General features: G+C 35.4%; 1 protein-coding gene and 1 long non-coding RNA gene across 2 annotated transcripts in view; one reads left to right on the top strand and one right to left on the bottom strand.

Moving 5' to 3' along the window:
• Positions 1–24,410, top strand: part of PDZRN4 (PDZ domain containing ring finger 4) — a 386,426-nt gene that overhangs the window by 199,705 nt on the left and 162,311 nt on the right. The gene's annotated exons all lie outside the window — the stretch shown is intronic.
• On the bottom strand, positions 21,434–24,260 carry PDZRN4-AS1 (PDZRN4 antisense RNA 1). Its single transcript, XR_001749091.2, has 2 exons — positions 24,190–24,260; positions 21,434–21,938 (listed from the first exon to the last, which is right to left on the bottom strand). It is a non-coding gene; the product is annotated as a PDZRN4 antisense RNA 1 (long non-coding RNA).

A 24,410-nucleotide genomic window follows, 5' to 3' on the forward strand; every position in this document is an offset into this window, starting at 1 on the left:
TTGCCTATCCATGTTAGACTGGATAAAGAAAATGTGGCACATATACACCATGGAATATTATGCAGTCATAAAAGAATGAGATAATGTCCTTTGCAGGGATATGGGTGGAGCTAGAGGACATTACCATTAGCAAACTAACACAAGAACAGAAAACCAAATACCACATGTAATGATGAGACCACATGGATCAATAGAGGGAACAACACACGCTGGGGCCTATTAGAGCATGGAGGGTGGTTGGAAGGAGAGGGTCAGGAAAAATAACTAATGGATACTAGGCTTAATACTTGGGTGATAAAATAATCTTACAAGTTTACCTATGTAACAAACTACACATGTACCTCTGAGCTTAAAATAAAAGATTAAAAAAAAAAAAGGAAAGTTGGAGGAATCGCAAGAGCCAAATTTTGAAGCATTTTGTAGGCCACTGTCAAGACTTTGGCTTTTACTGTAATTGAAATGTAAGCTACTGGAGGATTTTGAGCAAATCTCTTGTGATATCTGCTTTACCTTTTTCTAATTTGATTGCTGTTTTGAGAATAGACTGTAAGGAACCAAAAGTGGAAGCAAGCATACATTTCAGAAACTATTGGAGTAGTATAGGTGAGAAACTGTCAAGTGGTAAAGAATGGAGATGGTGAGAAATGTTCAGAAACAGCATAATTTGGAAGACAGATTCAGGATTGGATTTTGTGTAGGAGAGAGAAAAAAAGTCAAGAGTGTCTATAAAGTTTTTGATTAAAGCAATTAAAAGGATGGAGCTTCCATTCACTGAGTTTATGTATCTTTGGCAGTTACCTTCAAATATTAGGTATCTTTTTTGTGTATTCATCTTATTTTTAAAGCTATCATGAGTTTTTAAGAGTAAGGACAGTGTACTATGTCTTCTTCATGTATACTCATGGTACTTTTCTCTCTGGATGGTAATAAGCAAATATCAATGACTAACTGATTGGCTTGTCAGTGACACTGATGAAACTTGTCATAAAGTTGGCTGTGATGGCTGAGATAATTTCACATGTCATAGGCAGAGATGGTTATGGTTGGATAGTTAAATGTCTCTGCAGGTACTTAAGATTATATGAAAAAGTAGGAGAAAATAAATGTTAGTTCAAACTAAGAATTTTGACTCCTTTTAAAATGCTTAGATCTAAAATGGAGTGTACTCGAAAGGCCCATGATAAGATATAAAAAATACTGTAAATGAGAATATTAATATGTTCCTAAGTGAAGCAACATCTAATTATAGTTAGTAAATTTAAATTAATATTTAAAATGCTAAAAACACATCCTGTTTTATCACCAAAATCCTTTAAAGGCATTCTCTAGGCTTTTAAATGAAGCCCAAATTTGTAACAAAAGATGATCTGCAAATGTAAGCAAGTAGAGCATGCCATTCCAGAATTTATAAATGAAAGGGAATTTAGAAAGTAGCTAGTTAATGGCTAAGGGAGATTTAAATCCATATTTACTTGTTCCTGGACCAGTCATCTACTATACCATGTTTATCTTGACTTTAGTCTGTCTTAATTTTCATGAGATTTAGAGATTATCTAGTGCAATCTACTCTGCAATCTGTCACTCCCTCAGCAATGTAGATGTAATATTAGAAATGAAGTGATTTGAATGTCTACTGAGATACTTGACAATCTCTGTAGCATCATGTGGCCCCAGGTTTCCATACACTATTCCCTGTTTATGGACTATGACTTGTCAATTCTTAACCCTCCAGCTCTCCTTTGCTATTGCCCTTCGTGCTGGGCACAAAGAGGTCAAATGGAAGTTGGACTCACCTGGAAGAGTGATCAGACATTTCCACTTGTGGGTTCTGCTGGATTTTACCACCTTCTGCAAAACACTGAGTGTAGTCATGACATTCACCATTACATTCAGAGTACAAATAATCCAGTCTTAAGCACTTTGGGATTTCAGTAGCCTCTTAGGTAATGTCGAAAAGGACAGATTATTCTTAAAATAAGATAAATTAATGGCTAAAAGCCAATAATTCAACAATTGGCATGTCAGTTGCAAAGTAAGGGTGGTAAATCTTGGGTAGGTGCCTGAGATTAAAACCCTTTTTACAGTTGAGGGCCGTGATAATTTCAATAACATTAATTTACAATTGACAAATTGTGTACTCTTAACACTGATAATCTAGCCATTTATTAGACTTTAAGAGCAGGAGTAATTAAGTATTACTGCCCAGAAGAGTTGCTAGGGTGTTATTTATAAACACAATGAGTATAAAAAACAACTTTTTATGTTCAAATGAATATTAATTGTTTCTTCATTAAATGCAGCCTGAGATATTTGCGTTAATGTTTTTGCTATACCATTTTATTTCCGAAGTTGATTGGGCTGCTCATTTGTCATTGTTGTTCTATTTTGTTTTGCTCCCCACCCCTAACCAACCCATATGAACTTCTAAGGGGTGAGAACAAACTAGAGGGTATTTTCTGAAAGAAAGAATTTTGCCCCATACTCTCTAAGTAAAATACTATTTTCACCTGGTAGTCTGGGGTTTGAGAACTCCTAAGCAAAAAAAAAAAAAAAGTAAAAGCTTTTTTTATATTTCTAACTTGATGATTTCTGGGGTTTAGATCATACATGTCCTTCTAATTGGGCTAAATAACATATTATCCCATCAATATTCAACGCAGTCTTAAATTCCAGTGTGTTGTTGGTAAGAATAATGTAACAGTGGTCTGCAGGAGGTAAGATTTTGCAAGCTCCTGTGGTGCAAGCAATTTCAAAAGCAAGTAAAACCAAATAACTAATGCAAACAACTTGGTAATAATATTTATTGTCATTTATTTTAAAACAAAGAAGGAAGATACTATGAATAGTTTTATTTTTTCTAATGCTAAGCGTTAAGTCCTAGATGTAGGAAGAAAATATGATTCTATCATGAACAATAAAACAAACTGTGCAAATTCTGGACTACAACTAGAATAATGGTATCTCCCCACTATCAGCCTATGGCTGGACATGCAATTTCAAATGTTCCCGGAGTATTACAACTTTCTTCCCCTCAGAAAGTCCCAAGACTTGGTTTCTTGTTAAAATTCCATACCTGCATGCTTTATATTTCTTATGCTTCACCTGTTATGTCACCCTCACTCTTGATAGAAACTTATTTGGATAATGTCTGGAAGCAAAGAGTGCCCCCCTGAAGAAGGTTAGGGATGGAGGCACTCTGTCAATACCTGACAGGTGTAAATTTTTTAATGTATGAGTAGTATATGAAAATACAAATCACCCCAGAGAGCCAGCCTAAAGCAGACTGAAAAGCTGTCATAAGCAATTTTCAAAAAGCATGAGTTATTTGATTCCCTTCCAGGGAGGAACAACTCCATAGGCATAAATTTATGAATGGTACTTGACAATCTTAACAAGTCCTGCTCTCTCCAAGCTCACCGTATAACCAACACATGACAAGGTGGACTTTCTGGTCACCCAGAATCTGTGGCCAAGAGAGAATTGACATGATAACTGAGAAGAGCTTGAGCCACCTTACTTACTGAGGCTCGTGTCAAGGAACAGATTAAATAATCTCACAATCAGGAACATTTTGAAATGATTATTTTTGGACCCACTTCTAACCGACCAATTTCTTGGATGTCATAATATGAGGGAAAATGGAGTCTTTGAGATGTACTCCTCCCCCAATCACTAGTTTATATCCTTTAGCACTGTAAATTTCTTTTTTCCTTTTTGGCCCCAGGTTCATTGAAAAATCTTTACTAACTGAATAGCCTTCTCTCTGGTGTGAGAAAGCTGACTTTAGCGAAGAAGTGCATGATTGGTGAGTCAGTTCTAATTGAATAAGTGTCATAGTCAAAAATCAACAAGTGATGAAGACGAGGAAGCCCTGGAGTGGTGTTTGTTTCAAATCCTATTAAATCTTTCTTAGTAGCACAGGACTTTAAGGAGAATATGTAAAATTGAAAAAGACAAGAGGTTACAGGATAGCTTTATGCTATAGATGTTATATTCACTAAAATGGAGAAACTTGTTTTTTGTAGTTCTTAACAAAATTAGGTCACATAAAATGTACTGATATCAGAATTCTTGTGAATTCAACACTTAGAGGTGAATTAAAGTATGAATCTGTCCTAAAGGCTTTGCTGTGATAGAAGAATAAAATAAAGGCTTTGGTTCCTGCTATTCAAGATTCCCCAATGGCTTCCACTGGTGTTCCTCTAGGACAATGATTCTTATGTTTCTTTGATCATGACCCCAGAGAAAGAAGAACTTATTCACTGGGACTCAGTGTACATACAAACACACACACACATCAGAAATAAATATTATTTTTAAAAGACCTACTCCTATCTCATGTGATTCACTTCAATACTTTCTATTCTATAATATATATGTATATTATATTCTGTTTCAATATTTCATTTAAAAGTCTGGCTGTATTTCACTAACTTGATGTCTTAGCTTGCCAATGGTTCACAACTGCTGATTGCAATGCATTGCACTAGAAGGCTCCATATTACCAGAGTATGATATGTGTATTCTTTTCAGTGGACTTGTGTTCACACCATTATTCCTTTCAGAATGTCCTCCCCTTACTTACATCCTAGTTATGCCAGAAGTTATTAATAAAGTGAGCTATCACCTATTGAATCCTATTGGAAATAGTTGGTATTATTTTATATTTGGGGTATGTAGGAGCACTGCAAACCTCTTCTTCACCAGCCGTCTCTTCCATCAAGATTCCTAATGAAACTACATGTACAGTAGAAAATGGCTGCCAAGAAACATTTTATTATTAGCTGTCTTTTGAACACCAAACCACAAGGCAAAGTAGCCCAGATAGTGGAGGAAAATATTCTAAGTTTATAATTAGCCTTGAGACAAGAATCAAAGCAATGCTCTTAGCCACTGCATTCTACTACCATATGCTATATTTATTTATTCAAATGTGTTATTCATTCAGGAAGATTTATTGGGTACCTGTTGTGCCCCAGGCATTATGGGTTAAGCATGATAACACTGTATAAGTGTTCTCACTATCACCAGTGCCTATGGAATGAAAAGATTTTCTATTCCACTAAATTCTTCAATTCCTTTCTTTGTTTCCTTCATTGAGTGCTGATTTCAATTTATAGGATTTACTATGCAGTGAGTATTTAGAAGTAGTACTTTTTCCTCTTTTTAAATCATGCAGTAGTTTTATATACACTTAGCACAAGCATTTGTTATATAACAATAATTTTCCTTTTCATCACTATAATTAGTCTGAGGCTAATAAATATTTGCTGGGTAAATGCACGAACATATTAGATTTATTTAAAAGGTTTGCATTGTTGCCGTGGCTGTGTGTAGCTGCTGTGCAACCCAATTAGTTGTAGCAAGTACATATTTAAAAAACTGAATGGTAGGATGCTGATGCCTCACTCATATATATATGGCTTTGTATGACTTCTTAGGGTCTTATGAGCTCAGGAAAGATCTAGAAACCCTTCTAAAATAAAAAAAAAAAATGTAGCTTTTCTTATTATGCATTGCTGTGTAAAGAATGCTTTTCCTAGAATTAAAATGGTAACTGTTCTAGATATCTATTATTGTATAACAGGTTCTCAACAACAATTTAAAACAACAACTATTTTATTATGTCTCATGATTTTGTGGGCTAAGAATTTATGCAAGGCTTGCAGAGTGATTATTTTCTCTATGTAGGGCTGACTGAGATTACTTAATGATATTTGGTTGGAAGGTGAGCTAATCTGGAGGACCCAAGACCACTTCACTGCCATGCTTGGTGCCTTAGCAGGAGGCACATGCCTGGGACCTTGTCGGGATGGTTGTGCAGCTGGGCTCAACTGGAACTGATAACCAGAACACCTGGTTGTTAGGTAGGCAGGTACAGGTAGCGTCTCTGCAATGACAATTATAGAGTAGAGGAATATCTTACATGGCAGATCAGAACATGTCTTAGTCAATTTGAGCCACTATATAGCAAAATATCTTAGATTGAATGCCTTATAAATGGAAATGTATTTCTCTTGTTCAGAGGCTAGATGTCTGAGATCAGAGTGCAAACATGATCAGATTAAGTGAGGGCCTTGTTCTGGGTTGCAGACAGCTGTCTTCTCATTGCATCCTCACATGGTGGAAATATGGTGAGAGGGCTCTCTGGGGTTCCTATTATAAGGGCCCTAATCCCATTCATCAGGGATTCTCCATCATGACCTAATTATCTACCAAAGCCCTGACTTCCCATCCAATCTCAATGGGGGTTAGGATTTCAGTATATGAATCTTGGGAGGATACTTATATTCGGTCTATTGCAGGACACTCCCAAAGATGCTATTCCAAGAGTGACAGCCTTCTAAGAGATACAGGTAAAATCTGTAAGGCTTTGTATGATAGCAGAATCTACAAAATATACCTTCTAATTACAGTGCATTAAGTTTCAATTATTGCATAACAAATTGCTCCAAAAGGTAGCAGCTTAAAACACAAACATTGTTATCTCATGTTTCTGTGGGTCAGGAATCCAGCAACATCTTAGCTGGCTCGGGGTCACTCATGAGATTGACCAAGCTATTGGCCAAGGCTGCAATCGCATCTGAAGATTCTACTGGGGAGATTTTGCTTCCACAGTCACTCATGTGGTTGTTAGAGGTCTTAGTTCCTCACTAACTGTTGACCAGAGACTTCAGTTCCTTGCCATGCATGCACCATCATAGATTTTCTGAGTGTACTCATAACATGGAAGCTGGCTTCTCTTAGAGTAAATGAGAGAGAGAGAGAGAGAGTGAGTGAATGAGAAATGAGAGAGAGAGAGAAAGAGAGGGCGAGAGAGAGAGAGAGCCAAACCAGAAGCCACAGTCTTTTTATAACCTAATTTGAGAGTGGCACACCATCGCTTCTGCTATTTTTTTATTCATTAGAAGTGAATGTCCATACTACAAGCAAGAAAAGGCAAATTAAGCTCTACCTCTTGAAGGAAAAAGTATGAAATAATTTTTTAAACCACTGCAGTTCACTTTCTTATCACAAATTATTTATATTGCTCCCACTATGCTAAATACACCCACCCCTGTCCAGGCTCCCAAAAGTCTCATTTCATTATAGTATCAACTCTAAATCCAGAACTTCATCATCCATATCAAGTCTAGGTGTGGATGAGTCTCTTCTGCTATAGATCCTTAAATACATCCTCTTGAGTATAGCCCCTCTTAATATGTAAACCTGTGAAACTAAAAAAGCAAAGTATCTGCTCCCCACACTCCCCAAATACAACAGTATGACAGGTATATTGTAATTGATATAGACATTCCTGTTTAAAAATGGGAGAAATGGGAGACATAAAGGAGTCACTGGTCCATAGCAATTCTGAAATTATTTGATTGGGTCTCAGAGTCTGGGAATGATTTTTTCATGGACCTTGGCTTCATCTTCTGGGCTTGAAATCAACCTCTGTTTTTCATGAAAGTTTGCACATGTTTACCGCTGAGTCATTTTCTTTGCTGCTTCCAGTGAGTTGAATTTTGGAAGTCCAAAAGTCATATTTCATTTTGTGTTATCTTTGCTTTTTTCAGTATAAGCTAATAATGTGTATACATTTATAATTCTTTTAAAATTTGGGTCTTTAGTGACTTATTGGTATCCACTCCATTTTACAAAAGTCACACTCAAAACTATCTTCAAAGTATACCTATCTTTACCTTAGGCTTCAGCTGAGGAACAACACTTTAAATTTTTCTAGAAGTTTTATTGTTTATTTGGAAGACTGGACACACATTGATTTCATTAGAAGCCTTTTGTTTAGCTGAATAGTATATTAGGACACTACCTTAGATTTTTCTGAGATCTTAATTAAAAATTTTATAGGAATGCCCTTTACTTTATCTTTGAACCAAGTTTTCTTGGTAGTACCCTATGTTTAATATTTTCTCAGAAGGCATTTTTTTAATTTTTTCATCATGTACCCCACAAAAAGAGTAAGAATTTTCAAAACCATCAACTTTCACCTCTGTTTGTTTACCAGTCATTCCTCCAGTTCATCTTTATTCTGCTGCATTTTACTATAAACAGCAAAAAGAACCCAGAAAGCGACTTTGATGATTTGCTTGGAAATGACCTTAATTAGGTCATCACATTTTACTAGCCAATTTATTAATTTTCATGTTACTGCAGGTAAAGGGGCTGTGAACGTTTTCTGCCACTTCATAATAAGGATTATTTTTCCTCTAGTTTCCAATGATATTTACCTTACTTCCCTGAAAATTCTCCTCTGCAGTCCTATCAAAGACCATAAGACAGTTTCTTCAAGGCATGCTGGCCGCTTACTAACACTCTCCCAAAAGTCCACTGCCTGATTCAAAAGCTACTACTGCATTTTAGCGTTTGCTATTGTTGTTGTTGTTGTTGTTGTTGTTATTGTTATGGCAGCACACAATTTCCGGATATCAAAATCAGTATTGGTCTTTCTATTATTGTGTAGCAAATTACCCAAAATTGTAGCAGCTAAAAACAAACATTATTAGCTCACAATTTATGTGAGTCAAGAATTCAGGAGCAACAAAACTGGCTGTTTCAGGCTCAACGTCTCTTGTGAGGTTTTGATCAAGGCGTTGGCTGGGGCTGCAGTGTCATCAGAAAGCTGAACTGAGGGAAGATCCACTTCCAAGATCCACTTCCAATCACATTTGTGATTAAACTACATAGTTCTTTATATCCATGGCTGTTTTCATTGTCTATTTGTATTATATTCTTTAACTAGAAGATCTAATGTAAAGACTTTTTGATTTCTTCATATTGCTGAAGAATCATATTGAAAAGTATTTTTGAAGCAAAGTGATTTCTTCATATTTTTGAGACATATTTGGAGAAAATGATAAAAGATTAAGTGTGTGCACAGTGAGAATGTCGGGTATTCAAGAGTGAATTTTAAAGTCACTCTTATTAGCTGTTACTTTATGATGAACCATTAGCTAAAAATCATTTTAGTGTAATGTAAAAAAAAAATTCCCAAATACAGTTTTTATAATACTTAGTTGTTATTCTCTTGCCCATAAAATACATTTTTAAGTGGTGTGTCTAGTTTGGTGGATATATTCTACTTGTAAGCAATAAATGCTTAATTGTTTTAAAGATAACTCTATTTCTAAATTCTTTAAATTCTAAACTGTTACTTGATTTGTTAAATGAATGACACTGTGTTAAAATAAAACACTAATAAAATACTGGAATTACTTCATTGACCTCTCTCTCCCTTCATGCTACATGCAGTTGTGATTTCTAAGGATGTGTTTAGCTTTGTACTCTAGTAGATTTCTGTCTTATTTTCAATCCAAAAATAGGCACAACAAAGGATTCTTGCTTTGCCCTGTGCTTGTAAATGACTGGCAAAACTAGTATGTCTTTTGAAAGCAATTCCTACTATTATAACAAGCTGGAATAAAAATGGCCAATCAGTAATAATCCAACCCTTATTAACTTGCACTAAATTATTTTCATTTGGCAGATAAAATAACCACTTTTCCAGTCTTAATTAGAGTTTCGTCTAATAGGATTGACAAGGCAAGCTGGGCAAAAAAATGCTGTATTTAATTGCTTTTAGAATTCAGTCTTTTTTAGTACATTAAATCTTGGGAAAAATCCAGAGAAATTTTAAGAGCCCACATTTTGTTTTCTGGGTTACTCTTACCCTTACAAATCAAGAACAACTCTAGTTAATGGATGTTTTAAAGTTTTGCTGTTATGTATTGGTATCTATGCCCTTGAAGAACTAATAATACTTTTATTAGAAAGTGATAGTTTACTTTTTAAGTCACTTATATTTTTTTCTCTATTACATGACTATATGTTATCCTATCCTTTGAGGCTGTGTCTTATGGTAAAAGATACACAGAATTGCCACTTATAGAGAAGAGAGGTAACATGGTTTAAAAAAAATAGGCATTAGAGTCACAAGAACTCAAGTTCAAATCTGAACTTTGCTGCCTACAGCCCGGGGGACCTTGGGAAGGTTATTAACCTGTTTGGATCTCTGAGATGATGTGAAGAATTCAGGTATAAAATGTTTCCAGTAAAGAACCTGAGCCATATGATATGTTCTGGAAATTTTGCCTGCTATTACTATTACTAATCTACTCTCAATATGACAATACATTTTAAAATGCACCCCCATTTGCAGACCCCGTGTCCTCTTATTTCATTTCCCCCAGATCAGAAGACTGGCTGGCATTGGGAAAGAGTGGATTAAAAGCAGTCATGAAACTAGAGTTTTAAATTAAGTTCAATATAATTTTTAATAACTGAAGGTGACTGGGAAACTATGGGATTTGCTGAAGATGTCACTAAGGAATGGGAAAGTGGGACAAAGTGTAGATGAAGTCAGTGATTAGACAAAAAAAAAAGTAGTTCAAGTTAGAAAAGAAAGTGAAGGGAAAGAAGTAGGAAGGAAAAGACCTTGATCTGTTCTCCCTTTTCTAGAAAAATATTAGAACACTCCCCAACAGAATGAACAGATCAAATCATAACCAAAAGATTCATGGTGATATATTTAGCTGTAATAATTTGAATCAAGAATTATAATGACTTACAAATGCTGCAAGCTGTAACTTGTGTGTAACTTCCATTTAGTAAATTTTTTATGCTTTTGTTAAAAATCAAATGTTATACTTCTTTAATTTATATCACAACTGAAGCCTATTCAGTCACCCAGGGGGTAGAAATTCAAAGATACAGCTTTCTCTTCTCATTTCTTTCATACCTGCTGTATGTAAATTATAATACAAGAGTTTTTATTCCAGAAATTACAATAGTGTCTAATGCATACTAGGTGCTCAGTAGTTTTTTGGTTGCATGAATGATAACTTAATTAATCTGAAACTCTTCCCTTAGTGCTCTAATTCTAAGATTTTATTAGATTAAATTCAAATAAACTATTTTCATCTCATCTGTACAAATTCATTTGTAAAACACTCTCAGCTGTAAAACAAGCACTTGCAAAAGTATCTTTCAATCCTTCCACTTATTTGAATTATTTTTTAAGGATTTGAGTTATTGGATCTTAGCTAAAAAACAGAAAACTAGAAAGGTCTAAAAATAAAGTATTTATTATATGTAGTAAAAAAGTATGCAATTCAAAAACACTAACTTGATTCATTAAAATTCATTAATTATTTTTAATTATACAAATAATACATATTGATTGCCAAAAATAACAGTGACCAAGGTATATAAAAAAAGAAGAAAAAATCAGTCAACAGGCATTATATGCATATATAAACACATATGAAAGCATAAGAGTATTAAAATTCAAATAGTGAATTGTGTCCCTATATTCTATTGCTTATTCTTTCTGCCTATTTTGCCAACTTGCTAAAGATTTCTTTTTCTTTTCTTTCTCAATGGTACACACTTAAAAATTTACAAATTAATAGGGTTTTAAAAGTATATTGGCTGGGCTCAGTGGCTCATGCCTGTAATCCCAGTACTTTGGGAGGCCAAGGCAGGTGGATCACCTGAGGTCTGGAGTTCGAGACCAGCCTGGGCAACATGGTGAAACCCCATCTCTACTAAAAATACCAAAAATTAGCTAGGCATGGTGGTGGGTGCCTATAATGCCAGCTACCTGGGAGGCTGAGGCAGGAGAATTGGTTGAACCCAGGGGGCAGAGGTTGTAGTGAGTGAAGATTGTGCCATTGCACTCCAGCCTGGGCAACAAGAGTGAAACTTTGTCTCAAAAAAAAAAAAAAGTATTTCAACCTATAGCGGTATGTTAATATTGACATTAACACAAGGGAAAAAAATTCCCCCTTATATTTCTTCCTTAATTGTTCAATGGGTTTTTCGTTTTTAGGGTAGAATCCAATCACTTCTGTTTATGCAGAAGCTTCTTCTCTCTTGGCCTGATAAAGGAGGCTCCACACATTCTGCAAAGGGCACAGTAAAAAGGGGGCTGGGGGGATGGGGAAGAGAGAGAGAACGTTATGGCCCTCTGTACCGGCTTCATATGTAAAATGTTGATCTCTTTTAAACTTGGGCTATTGTGCAACTTTTCAAAAGGGATATTGCAGCAGCCTTCAGTTATGAAGCAGTCATCAGATAACTCAGGTGCTGGTTGCAAGAATATGAGAGCAATACACAATACATCTCTTTGTTTCTTTATCCATGGAATCTGCAGTTTTCTAGCAGCTTTTTCTCCCTGTTGTGCATTTAACTGAAATCTGACAGAAACCACGGATGAATTTTGTAATAGACACTATTGGTACTTAAATCCTGGAAAGGCATTTTGGATAGGCTAATATCAGCAAAATTTTAGTGGGTAGTCAGGGAATGATATAGAAATCATATAATTGGGCTCCATGTGAAATAGTCCACTAATATTCTTCTGATGGGGCTTCAGATTCATCTAAATCTGAATAATTTGTGTTAAGTGATTTGCAACACTTTCGAGGCACCATCAAGGGTGCATTTTGGGCAGAAGGCATACTTTAGAAATTAGGACCTCATGGGTTTGGGTTTTTTTTCTTCTCATATGAAAATATACTACATATGTTCTGTTTTGTTCTGGGACTATCACAAAGCCCTAAAATGTTTACAGCTTTCAGCTAGAGGGAGAAATATGGAGTGAGTGGGGGGATGTAGTCAGGGGAAGACAACTCCATAAAACTGCCCTAGTGCATCATTCAGGTCTTTCTTACAGTAGAATCTAAACTAGCCCTCAATGAAAAATAATTTCATTAAGACTTATCCTATAAAAGTGCCTTTAGGAACAGATGTTGCTTTACAAGTCATGTAAAACATCTTTTTATAAAAATGTTCAAGTAGCTAACTTCATTCCAGGGAAATATAGCCAACTTGGCCAAAATTAGCCCTCCTTTGCTTTCCCTGCATTTATATCCTTTGCATTTTTGAGGTAGGCCTGAATCCTGACTGTTATTTGGCTTTGGATTGTATTGTTAAAATTCTGGATTTTATGATGTAGTTGGCATTCTCATTCATTTCATGTTGAAGCATTTTAAAAATTCTTTCTCATTACTTAAATGTTTACCTTTCAAAGAGGTGACTAATCATAATGTACCTGGTATATAGCAAAAATCCACTTACAGACAATTGAAATTTTCTGTGTAAATGTTACAAGTTTTGCCTAATAATTTATTCCCTTAATCTGCTTGCTAAGTAAGTTAAAAATACCCACGAAGATACAAATTGTCACCAACTTAACATTTTGCATGCCCATAGCCGAATGAATAAATTGTACCATTTCCCTCATTCAGGAAACAATGAATGTCTACTGAGAACTAAGCTATTTAAAACTGAAAGTTTCTCTCCAGTAGCTCATAAAAGTAACATCAATTTCTCTAACATATCTAATAAGCATGTTTCAGTTTTCTTTTAAAGTTGCACTTACATTGTGCTGTATACTAAATTTAATAGTTTACTATGAATGTGTAATTTATAAAATGCTCTCTTCACTTGCATTTACTATCCATTAATTATCGAGTCAGCAACCTCAGAATCTTCCTCAGTTTCTTCCTCGCTTGCCTCAACCTTTTTCACCGATCCAGACTGTTACCTTCATAGGGCTTCTTGAATCCATCTCTTCTTTGCCATTCTAGTCTTCACTTTTGTGCAAATGCTTCCATACTTTATCTACCTTGTTATAATACGTTTCCTGTTGGTTGTTCAGTCTAGCCTCTCTGGTATTGGCAGAATCTTTCCTTTCCAACATAAACACAGCAACATTATCTGCAAGATGAAGTCCAAATTCCGTAGAATGTCACAAAAAGACTATAATCTGTCCCCAGTCTCCATCTTTAATCTCCTAGAGTTCTCCCCAGACCGTGCCAAAACAGCCAAAAATGATTCCCCCTCTTCGTTGTGTGAAGCATTAAATTCCTCAGGGCCTTGTACATTCTGTGCCCCTCTCCTACAAGACTCCACCCTCATTTCTCTCTCTTCATGTAAAAGATTCTGTTTATCCCTTGAGGTCAGCATAAAAGCACCCTATGGATGTGGCGCTCCCTCACCACACTTGTAACTTCTTCCCACTCCTCCCACCCCTGGAGCAGGAAAAGAAAAAAAAAAAGAAATATATATATATATATACACACTGAGTATATATATATATATATATATATATACACACACTGAGTATATATATATATATACACACTGAGTATATATATATATACACACACACTGAGTATACATATATATACACACACACTGAGTATACATATATATATACACACACTGAGTATATATATATATATACACACTGTGTATATATATATATATACACACAGTGTGTATATATATATACACACACTGTGTGTATATATATATATACACACAGTGTGTATATATATATATACACACACTGTGTATATATATATATACACACAGTGTGTATATATATATATACACACACAGTGTATATATATATATATACACACTCTGTGTGTATATATATATATACACACAGGGTGTATATATATATATATATACGCTGTGTGTATATATATATATATACTGAGTGTATACATATATATATATATACTGAGTATATATATATATATATATATATATACTGAGTATATACATATATATATATATATACTGAGTATATATATATATATATATATATATACTGAGTATATACATATATATATATATATATACTGAGTATATACATATATATACTCTCTTCAAAAGTCAGAATCACCAGTGATTTTTACTTATGATTGATTAGAGGTAAAAAAAAGTTATTTTCTGTTTTGTATAAGAAAACAATCCAAAAGAAACAAATAAAAAACTAAGCTATTTGAGGGCAGCGTCAGCGTCTTATGTCTTATTTGTCCACACAGCACCTGGCACAGTGTTTTGTGTGTAACGTGAGCTAAATTGCAAAGAGAAGCTAATATCGTGGTATCAAATTTAGGGAATTGATATATTTCATGATAACTTAGATCTCACTGTTGGGTGACTCATCGCTTAATAATTCAAGCCAGATTTGTAATTGTTCCTGTTTCTAGAAGTCTAAAAAGGGAAGCCATAATAACTTTTAAAAATTCAGAATTAATGGAGTGTCTTCCTCCTGCTCATTCATTTGAATTAAACCCAGCTTCATAGCAATAGGCAGCATATTACCATCCAGCGATGTGATGAGAACTTGTGATTCCCCCCACACATTTAATACTGAGCCCCAGGGGCTAGGAAACCTCGGGGTGAAAGTTTGGGAAAATATCTGCTCTTTTTCGTTTGGCTGGTTTTTTTGCCCTGATTTTCATGTCTACCCTCTCGTATCATAACTTCAATTGTAAAACATAGCTGTGAGCTGGAAAGACCATTTGTAACAGTAGAATTAGAAAAATGAATTTTGAAACCTCTTTTGCTCCCCCAAATACATGGTGAATATAAGCTATTTCCATCGGGAACGTGAGAGATGGGGAAGGAAATATTTCGGCTGTTTTGAAAAAGTGTTCCAGGTAAATCACATATGCCCCTCACTCCAAGGTTTTGGATCCTAAGAGTTACAGAATATTCTCTTTATATGTTAAGCCAATAAATGTACTAGAAATACGCAGTTGGTTCTTGTGGGGGTTGGGATGACAGGAAAGAGTAAGCATATTTCAGTCCTCACTGAAAAGTTTGGCTTTACATTTCAATTAGAACAATCATGAGATTGTTTTTCTGACAATAAGTGAGAGAGAATCTTTACTAGAGTCTCCTGAAATGTTAGGTAAATTTTATTCAATACTAGCACACAATTTATTCATTCAAAATATTTGTTAATTACTTTTTAGTACCAGGCATATGAAATGCAATTCTAAAAATCACAAAAAAATGCAATACCAAACAAAATATAAACCCAATAAATGGATAAGTAGAAAGATAATTTGCAGTAAGCCATATGTGATAAGAAGGGAGTACAGTTGTCCCTTGGTATCTATTGGGGTGTTGGCTGCAGGAACCCTCAGGGATACCAAAACGTGCTGATGCTGAAGTTCTTTATATAAAATGGCATAGTATTTGCATAAAACCAATGCACATCCTCCTACATAGTTTAAACCATCTCTAGAATACTTATAATACCTAATACAATGTAAATGATATATACATAGTTGTTATGCTGTATCATTTTTATTTAAATTATTTTTAATTTTTGTATTGTTATTTTTTCAAATATTTTCGATCTGCGGTTGGTTGAATCCACAGATGCAAAACCCATGGATTCGGAAGACCAACTGTAAACATGGCCATAGAAATGCGAGTAGCATGGCATCTATGAGAGAGTGTGAAAGAAATTCCAAAGCCATTGGAGCACAGAGATAAAAGTTCCCAGAGAGTTATACATCAATAACGTCCAGGTTGAGAGTCAATTCAAAAACACAATCTCCTTTACAATAGCCACAAAGGAAATGAAATGCCTAAGAATACAGCTAACCAAGGAGGTGAAAGCCCTATACAAGGAAAACTACAAAACACTGCTGAACGAAATCAGAGATGACACAAGTAAATGGAAAAACATTCCACACTCTTGGATTAGAGGAATCACTATTATTAAAATGGCCATACTGCCCAGAGCCATTTACAGATCCAATGTACTTCCTATCAAACTACCAATATCATTCTTCACAGAACTGGAAAAAAAAACTATTCTAAAATTCATACCGAACTGAAAAAGAGCATGAATAGCAATTCTAAGCTGGAGGCATCACACTACCCAATTTCAAGCTATACTAAAAAAAAAAAGAGCATAGTACTGTTACAAAATCAGACACATAGACAAATGGAACAGAACAGAAAACTTAGAAATGAAGTCATACGCTTACATCTAATCTTCAACAAGACCAAAAAAACAAGCAATGGGGAAAGGACTCCCTATTCGACAAATGATGCTGGGATAACTGGCTAGTCATTTGAAGAAGGATGAAACTGTACCCTTACTTTTTACCATATACAAAAAGTAATTAAAGATTTAAATGTAATACCCCAAACTATAAAAATCCTAGAAGAAAACCTAGGAAACACCCTTCTCAACATTGGACTTGACAAATAATTTTTGGCTAAGTCCCCAAAAGCAATTGCAAAAAAAATAAGAATTGACAAGTGGGACCTAGTAACTAAAGAGCTTCTGCACAACAAGCTATCAGTAAACAGACAACCTACAGAATGGAAGAAAATATTCACAAACTATGCATCCAACAAAAGTCTAATAACCAGAATCGATAATGAACTTAATTCAACAAGCAAAAAAACAACCATATTAAAAAATGGGCAAAGGACATGAACAGACACTTCTCAAAAGAAGACATACAAACAGCCAACAAACATATGAAAAAATGCTTGTCATCACTAATTATCAGAGAAATGCAAATCAAAACCACAATGAGATGCCATCTCACTCCAGTCAGAATGGTTATTATTAAAAAGTCATAAAGCAACAGATGCTGGCAAGGCTGCAGAGAAAACGAAATGCTTACACACTACTGGTATGAATGTAAATCAGTTCAGCCACTGGGGAAAGCAGTTAAGAGATTTCTCAAAGAACTGAAAACAGAGCTACCATTTGACCCAGAAATTTCATTACTGGGTATATACCCAAAGGAAAATAGATCATTATGCCAAAAAGACACATGCGCTCATGTATTTATTGCCATGCTATTCACAAGAGCAAAGACATGTAATCAACCTAAATGCGGATCAGTACTGAATTGGATAAAGAAAATGTGGTACCTATACACCATGGAATACTACACAGCCATAAAGAAGAATGAAATCATGTCCTTCACAGCAACATGGGTAGAGCTGGAGGCCATAGTCCTTAGCAAATTAATGCAGAAACAGAAAACCAAATACCACATGTTCTCACTTATAACTGGGAACTAAACATTGAACACATGTGAACATAAATGTTGGAACAATAGACACTGCAGAATACTACAGCAGGGTGGGGGGCAGGGGAAACATGGGTTGAAAAACTACCTGTTGAGTACTATGCTCACTACCTGGGTGTAATATACTCATGTAACAGACCAGCACATGTACCCTCTGTATCCAAAATAAATAAATACATATTTAAAACTAAAAAAAACCAAAATATTTCAATAATAAAAAACATTAAATGTATCCAAAATTTAACCTAATTTCTGCTTTTTTTTGAGTGATGATTCTGCCTAAAGACTAAAATACAAGTACTAGATAAGTCTAACAAGTAACAATATTAAAGCTCTTTAATTTCCACAGTGTTTACTAAGAGCAATGTTATATTTAGTGAGAAGAAAAGAAAATGAGGAAATGACACATTTAGTTGAAAAATAAAACAGTTTGGTTGAAAACGAAACAAAAAAATGTATAAAAGAAAAAATCAACGCCTACTGTTGTCAGGAGGATGGCTCCTTACGTCATTACCAAGCTACTGTGATGTCCTCAATTTGTTGTTCTGATGTGAAATTACTGTTTTACAGTCATTCGGGACAACTCATCTTGATCAATCCAACTTATGACTTCTCATTATCAATCTGTTGAATGTGAACCCCAAATTGAGGAAGAGACCTATCAACTAGAGAAATTACCCTTAAAAATGCATTGCTTAAAAAGACAATTCAGGCCCGGCACGGTGGCTCACGCCTGTAATCCCAGCACTTTGGGAGGCCGAGGCGGGCAGATCACCTGAGGTCAGAAATTCGAGACCAGCCAGACCAACATAGCAAAACCTCAACTCTACTACTGTAATCCCAGCTTCTCGGGAGGCTGAGGCAGGAGAATCGTTTGAACCTGGGAGGCGGAGATTGCAGTGAGCCAAAATCGTGCCATTGCCCTCCAGCCTGGGCAACAAGAGTGAAACTCCGTCTCAAAAAAAAAAAAAAAAAAAAAAGACAATTCTAATTTGAAAATGTTATTTCCCATGTGTGTGTGGCACCAACAAAAGAAAGAGAAAAATGCAATCCCAACCCATGTTCATAGTTTGAATATTGCACTGACAAGAAATGCTACAACCTTTAGGTGTTCAAGAAATGCCTGATTGATGAGCATTGTTCCTCCTAATGAGCTGTGTGTTATGATAAAGAACTTATAGTCCCCATGGACCTTATGCTCTCAGAACTATTCATTTATTTTCTGTGAATTAACACTGCCTTTATTAATAGTACAAGGTTCAGCCCTTGGCAAAGTCCTCATCCACTTGGGGATAATACTGACCTATAATATCTCACCGTCATTTTAGGCTAGTACTTTGGATAATGGAGTGGACTTAGCTAGCAAGAAAACCCTTCCTTTCTTTATAAGAAGGCTTCTAAGTTCTGTGTTTTAACATGAGCCTGTAGTAAGCAGAGAGCTATTTGATGCTGAATTCTGAGCAAAGGGTTCTTTGTGGGAAGGTCTGTCAAACAGCATAGTTACCATGGCAACCCTGGCTGGATAACCCATTTGGGAAAATACTTGTAGGACCTAACACTCTATCATCTGTCATTCAATAATTTCATGTTCATAATAACTAGGAAATCAATGGCGATCCTCTGAGACAGTTTGTGGAAAGGGCAAGCATGCTATTGGCAGCTCACAGCTTACATTTGCGTCTATTTGTTGTGATTCTCGTGCCAGCTTAGGAGTGTGAGAAAAAACTTGTTTGTTTGGACTGGCACAAAGATTAAAGGCAGGTTCAGTTTTGCAATCTAATTACAACTGCAGTGTTTACATGTACAAAAGAGAAAAAAAAAAAACAAATGGCATATTAATCAAGCATTTGCTAGACTGTTAAGAAGTAAGGTTCACCTAATATTAACATTTCACATTTTTAAATTCTGCGAGAAAAGATGAGTCCAAGTTATCACGCAACTGGCATGAACAAATTTGGTAACGTAAAAGGCATTTTTCTTATCTAAGCTTTCTAATTAAACTGCTTATCATCGTAGAAGCTGTGTTACCTGGATGTTATGTACAGAATATAAAGTGATCATAGAAAAGTAATTAAAATTCTTAAACATGCAGCCCGTTGACTTAACATACAATTAGTTTTTAGAGTGTGATGTTTGATAATAAGGCGAGTTAGCTGAGTAGAGAAATATACACTTAATAATTACCTTGACAGTGTTTATCAACTAGAAAAAAATGTCAGAAATAATTTCAGGAAATGGATATTACAAATAAGAAAGCATGTTAAACTAAGACCAAGAAAGTGAGTAGGAGAGAAAAATTAAGCATTTTGTATTCTATAAAGAAAGGAATATTTCACCTTCGTGGAAACATTTAGAAGATACTGATTCATGCATTATGAAAAGCTTATTGTTTTTAATTTAGAAGTGTTCTGAAACAGAACGATAAAGATGTTTGTAAATTGCTTTCCTTTTAGCACAACAGGTTTTTATTTTAAGCTGCTCTGGGTAAAGTACACATAGTGGAGCTCCCTTTCTGCAAGTTTCCAGAGTCCAAGTTTTCTCAAAGTGGAAGTGTGGGGGAGCTGATTAAAACATCATCATTTTCAACATAAGAGATGAAGTCTTCTGAAGTGAAAATGGTATTTTATTCAAAGGAGGAATAGTTCCCTAAAGAGCTATGCTGAATATGAGCACAGAAGATGGAAAGATTATATGGCTTCTCTTACAACTGGAGGTCTGCTGAAGACTTTGGAAATCGGAATTTTATATATTTTTCCAAAAAACAATATGATGTTCTTGTAAAATTTTCAAAGATCTGGTTGAATAAATGAAGAAACTATTTTTCTATTTTTCTTCTTCCTTTCTCCTTCCTAAACATTTCTCTCTCTCTCTCTCTCTCTGTCTTCTCTCTCTCTCTCTGTCTCTGTCTCTCTTGCGCTCTCTCTCTCACTCTCTCGCACTCTCTTGCTCTCTTTCTCCCCCTTTTTCTTTCTCCTTATTACTCTTGGGGCCAGAAGATGTTCATTTTTATTATTAATGCTTGCTTGAATGAAAAATGAAAACTTCTGTTCTTTTCCTTTAAAAACATCTACACATTTTCCAACCTACTCAGATATGTAAGTAGAATCCAAGTGGTATCATAGGCAAAACTATTACTGTTATGGAATGCATTTTAAAAGAGGAGATTGATTATATTTCTAAATGTAACAATAGAGATAAGAACTATGATAAGAGTTGAAGATGATAAAATGTCTCTTTAAAGTCATATTAATATAACCTGTAAATAAAGGGAATTTATCATACTTTTAGAAAACAAAAATACCTCTTATTTTAAATACCTCTTATTTCTAGATTTTTTAAGGGTTAACATCTATGCTATTTTATTATTCCTTCATTTATTCACTTGGGACATATAGTTATTGAGTCTTGACCAGATCCCCAGGCACTCTGGTAGGTGCAAAATTCCCAAAAAAAAAGAAAACAAGGTATCTATCCTCAAGTTCTTCCCAGTCCTTTGGGGAAAAAGATAAGTAGACAGAGGGATTCATAGGGTGTTACAGGAGCATTGAGGAGAAATATTTCATGTGTCATTCTTAGATGCATTTATTCCTTTACTATAGAACTTACTGATATGAGGTAATTTCTGACCGATTTTTTCTTTTGGGCATAAGTTATTTAACACTTTATAAATGAAGATTCAGAAATACCAACGTATGAAAGTCTTCTTTGTATTCTCAATAAGATCCAGATATTTAAATATATATTTTTCAATATTCTCAATGAAACTTAGAGAAAACTAGTATTAGCATGTGCATTAATTTCTTAGGGCTGTCTCTGGGTGGCTTAAAACAACAGAAATTCACCTCATCGCTTTGAAGGTCAGCCAACTGAAATCAATGTGTCAGATGTCATGTTCTCTGAAGCCTCTAGGGAGGAACTTCTCCTGCTTCTTCGAGCTTCTGGTAGCCCCAGGTATTCCTTAGCTTGGAGCAGCATGACTACAGATTTTGTTTCCATCTCCATATTAGAATTCTCTCTGAGTCTGTGTCTTCACAGGGCTATCTTCTTATATGGACACCAGTCCTATTGGATCAGAAACCAGTATGACCTCATCTTGACTAATTACATCTGCAATAACCCTGTTTTCAAAGAAGATCACATTCTGAGGCACTGGAGGTTAGGACTTCAACATATTTTTTGGAGGGACATAATTCAACCCATACCAGCATATACACCTCTATTTCAACATTTTATCTTTTTGAGAAAATGAAACATTTTAAAAATGTGAACAATAGCATATATGATTTCTCCCAGAATAATTTCTAACACGATTTTTCATGTTCTGTTTGGCATGGTCATGTCTCGCCTTCTTTAGTGTATTTGCTTAGAAATCATAAGCAATAAATATTTCCTAAAAGCTTTCATATTCTCATATGCTGGGAAATACACATACTCACAGATACATACATACATACGTACACGTAAAATAATTACAACGGTAAAGATGAATATTCTGAAACTTGTGCATAAGTCTGCCTTTAAATATAAGCTGCAACTAAGACTTCCTTATCATAGGCAATGCTATAATTAACATATCTACTGTGCAACCATTTTACTATTGAGCCTTCTGATATTGTTTTGGGCCAGGCTGAAGTGAAATGCTAAAATATTATATTATATTCACAGTTTAGATGGTGCAGTCTTTTCTTTAGCATTTAGAATCCAAAGTATATTTTGTTGGGTACCCCATCCAGGAGGAAGAATGCTGCATTGAAAAGAATGATTTAATTGGGAATCCCACTCTGGCTTAATGGCTCTAACTGTTAAACCTGTCTCAGCCTTAATTTCCTCATCTTTAAAAGTGAAAGGGCTGTTGTCAGGATGAAATTACATAACATGACGAAATGCCTTTTCTCACCGTTGGGTGCAGAGATACCTGAGAAAGAGTTACTCAAATCTGCTTAGGAATTTGTAGCAAGTGAAGCGTAGGTTTTGGGGGATATTTTCTATTTTGAGACAGAGTTTTACTGTGTCACTCAGGCTGGATGGAGTACAGTGGTGTGATCAAGGCTGACTGCAGCCCATACCTCCAAGGTTCAACCAATCCTCCCATCTCAGGCTCCCGAATAGCTAGGACCACAGGCACGTGCCACCACACTGAGCTTTAAAATATATATATATATATATATTTTTTTTTTATTTGTAAAGATAGTGTCCCACTATGTTGTCCAGACTGGTCTCAAACTCCTGGGCTTAAGCAGTCCTCCTGCCTCAGCCTCCCAAAGTGCTAGGATTATAGGCATGAGCCACCGTGCCCAGCCTAGCATAAGTTTTACAACCTAATGCCTAGAAGGTTAGAACAAATAAAACCACTGTTACCCCCAGATATAAGTACAGCTCTCCTATTTGTAGTACTAGTCTTCATTTCTAGCCCCACTTCCTTCATCTTTCCATTTAAGAAAGGAAAAGTGAAAAGGAAGGAGAAAGATGGCAGTCCCATGTGCCACCTTAGAGACACACCACCTCCCCTTAGGTTTCTCTGCTTTAGTCATGGGTTAGATTAGTACAACTTGCACCTGTGAGTGAGAACTGTCATTGATCAGACTGACTTCTCTCACCAGCTGAAAGACAAAAAATTCAATTGATTCAGAGTTCCTTGTTTATTGGGCACTCATCAACAAAAGCACAGATATTGCATCCTGAGTTTGACTTTTTAGCACGCCAGAGAACTTGGAGGATAAGCAAATTCTGGCTTATTTGATCCTACCGTGTTATTGCTTTTCTGGGGACTGCTTAATTGAAGCAAGAATGCTATTTCAAGTAAAATACATCAAAAGGCATTTCATTTAAACCTAGTTAATTCTTTACAAGGCCCTGTAGTAAACAAAATAGAGCAGCTATATTCTTCACTCTTCACTTTCTTCTGCTATTAATTTCAGTTCTCAATGTGATCAGCAACTTTTTCTTCCAGGTAGTTATAGCTAAGAAGAACTCTTCTTGTTGACAGAGGGAGATAAAGAAGTTGAGAAGAAAGGTTAGAGAAGAGGGCCAAGTCTGGTCTAGTCAAGTCAAATCAGGTCTACTCCGGTGTCTGCTATACATTTATATATGATCTTAGTTAAGGCAAGGTATATGTCTAGGGCAGTTTCCTTACTTGTAAAATAAACAGATTGCATTACATAAACTTCAATTAATATTTTTAGAGTAAGGGTCCACTCATTGAAACTCTGATAATTCCCGTAGATTTTTCCCACCTATCTGGATATATGTTAAGTACAATTTTATATGTAATGTAGCAGTCGTAGACCCCCTTGAACAATGTGCACAGACATACCTGGCTTCCTTTTCCAAGGTCACTTCATGGTCCAAATGACTGTTTCACATCCAGTCGTGTCTGTTTTATTTCTGTTGGAAAGACAGCACGAAGGAGAAAAGGGTGATGATGAAAAACTAGCAAAGGGCATGAGCGAGAAGTGATTTCAGGAAGGCTCCTGGGAATTGCCACATGACATTTTACTTACATCTCATTGGTCAGAAACTTGGCCATGGCTGATA

The sequence above is a fragment of the Homo sapiens genome, chromosome 12 (genome assembly GCF_000001405.40).
Source record: "Homo sapiens chromosome 12, GRCh38.p14 Primary Assembly".
NCBI classification, from domain to species: domain Eukaryota; kingdom Metazoa; phylum Chordata; class Mammalia; order Primates; family Hominidae; genus Homo; species Homo sapiens.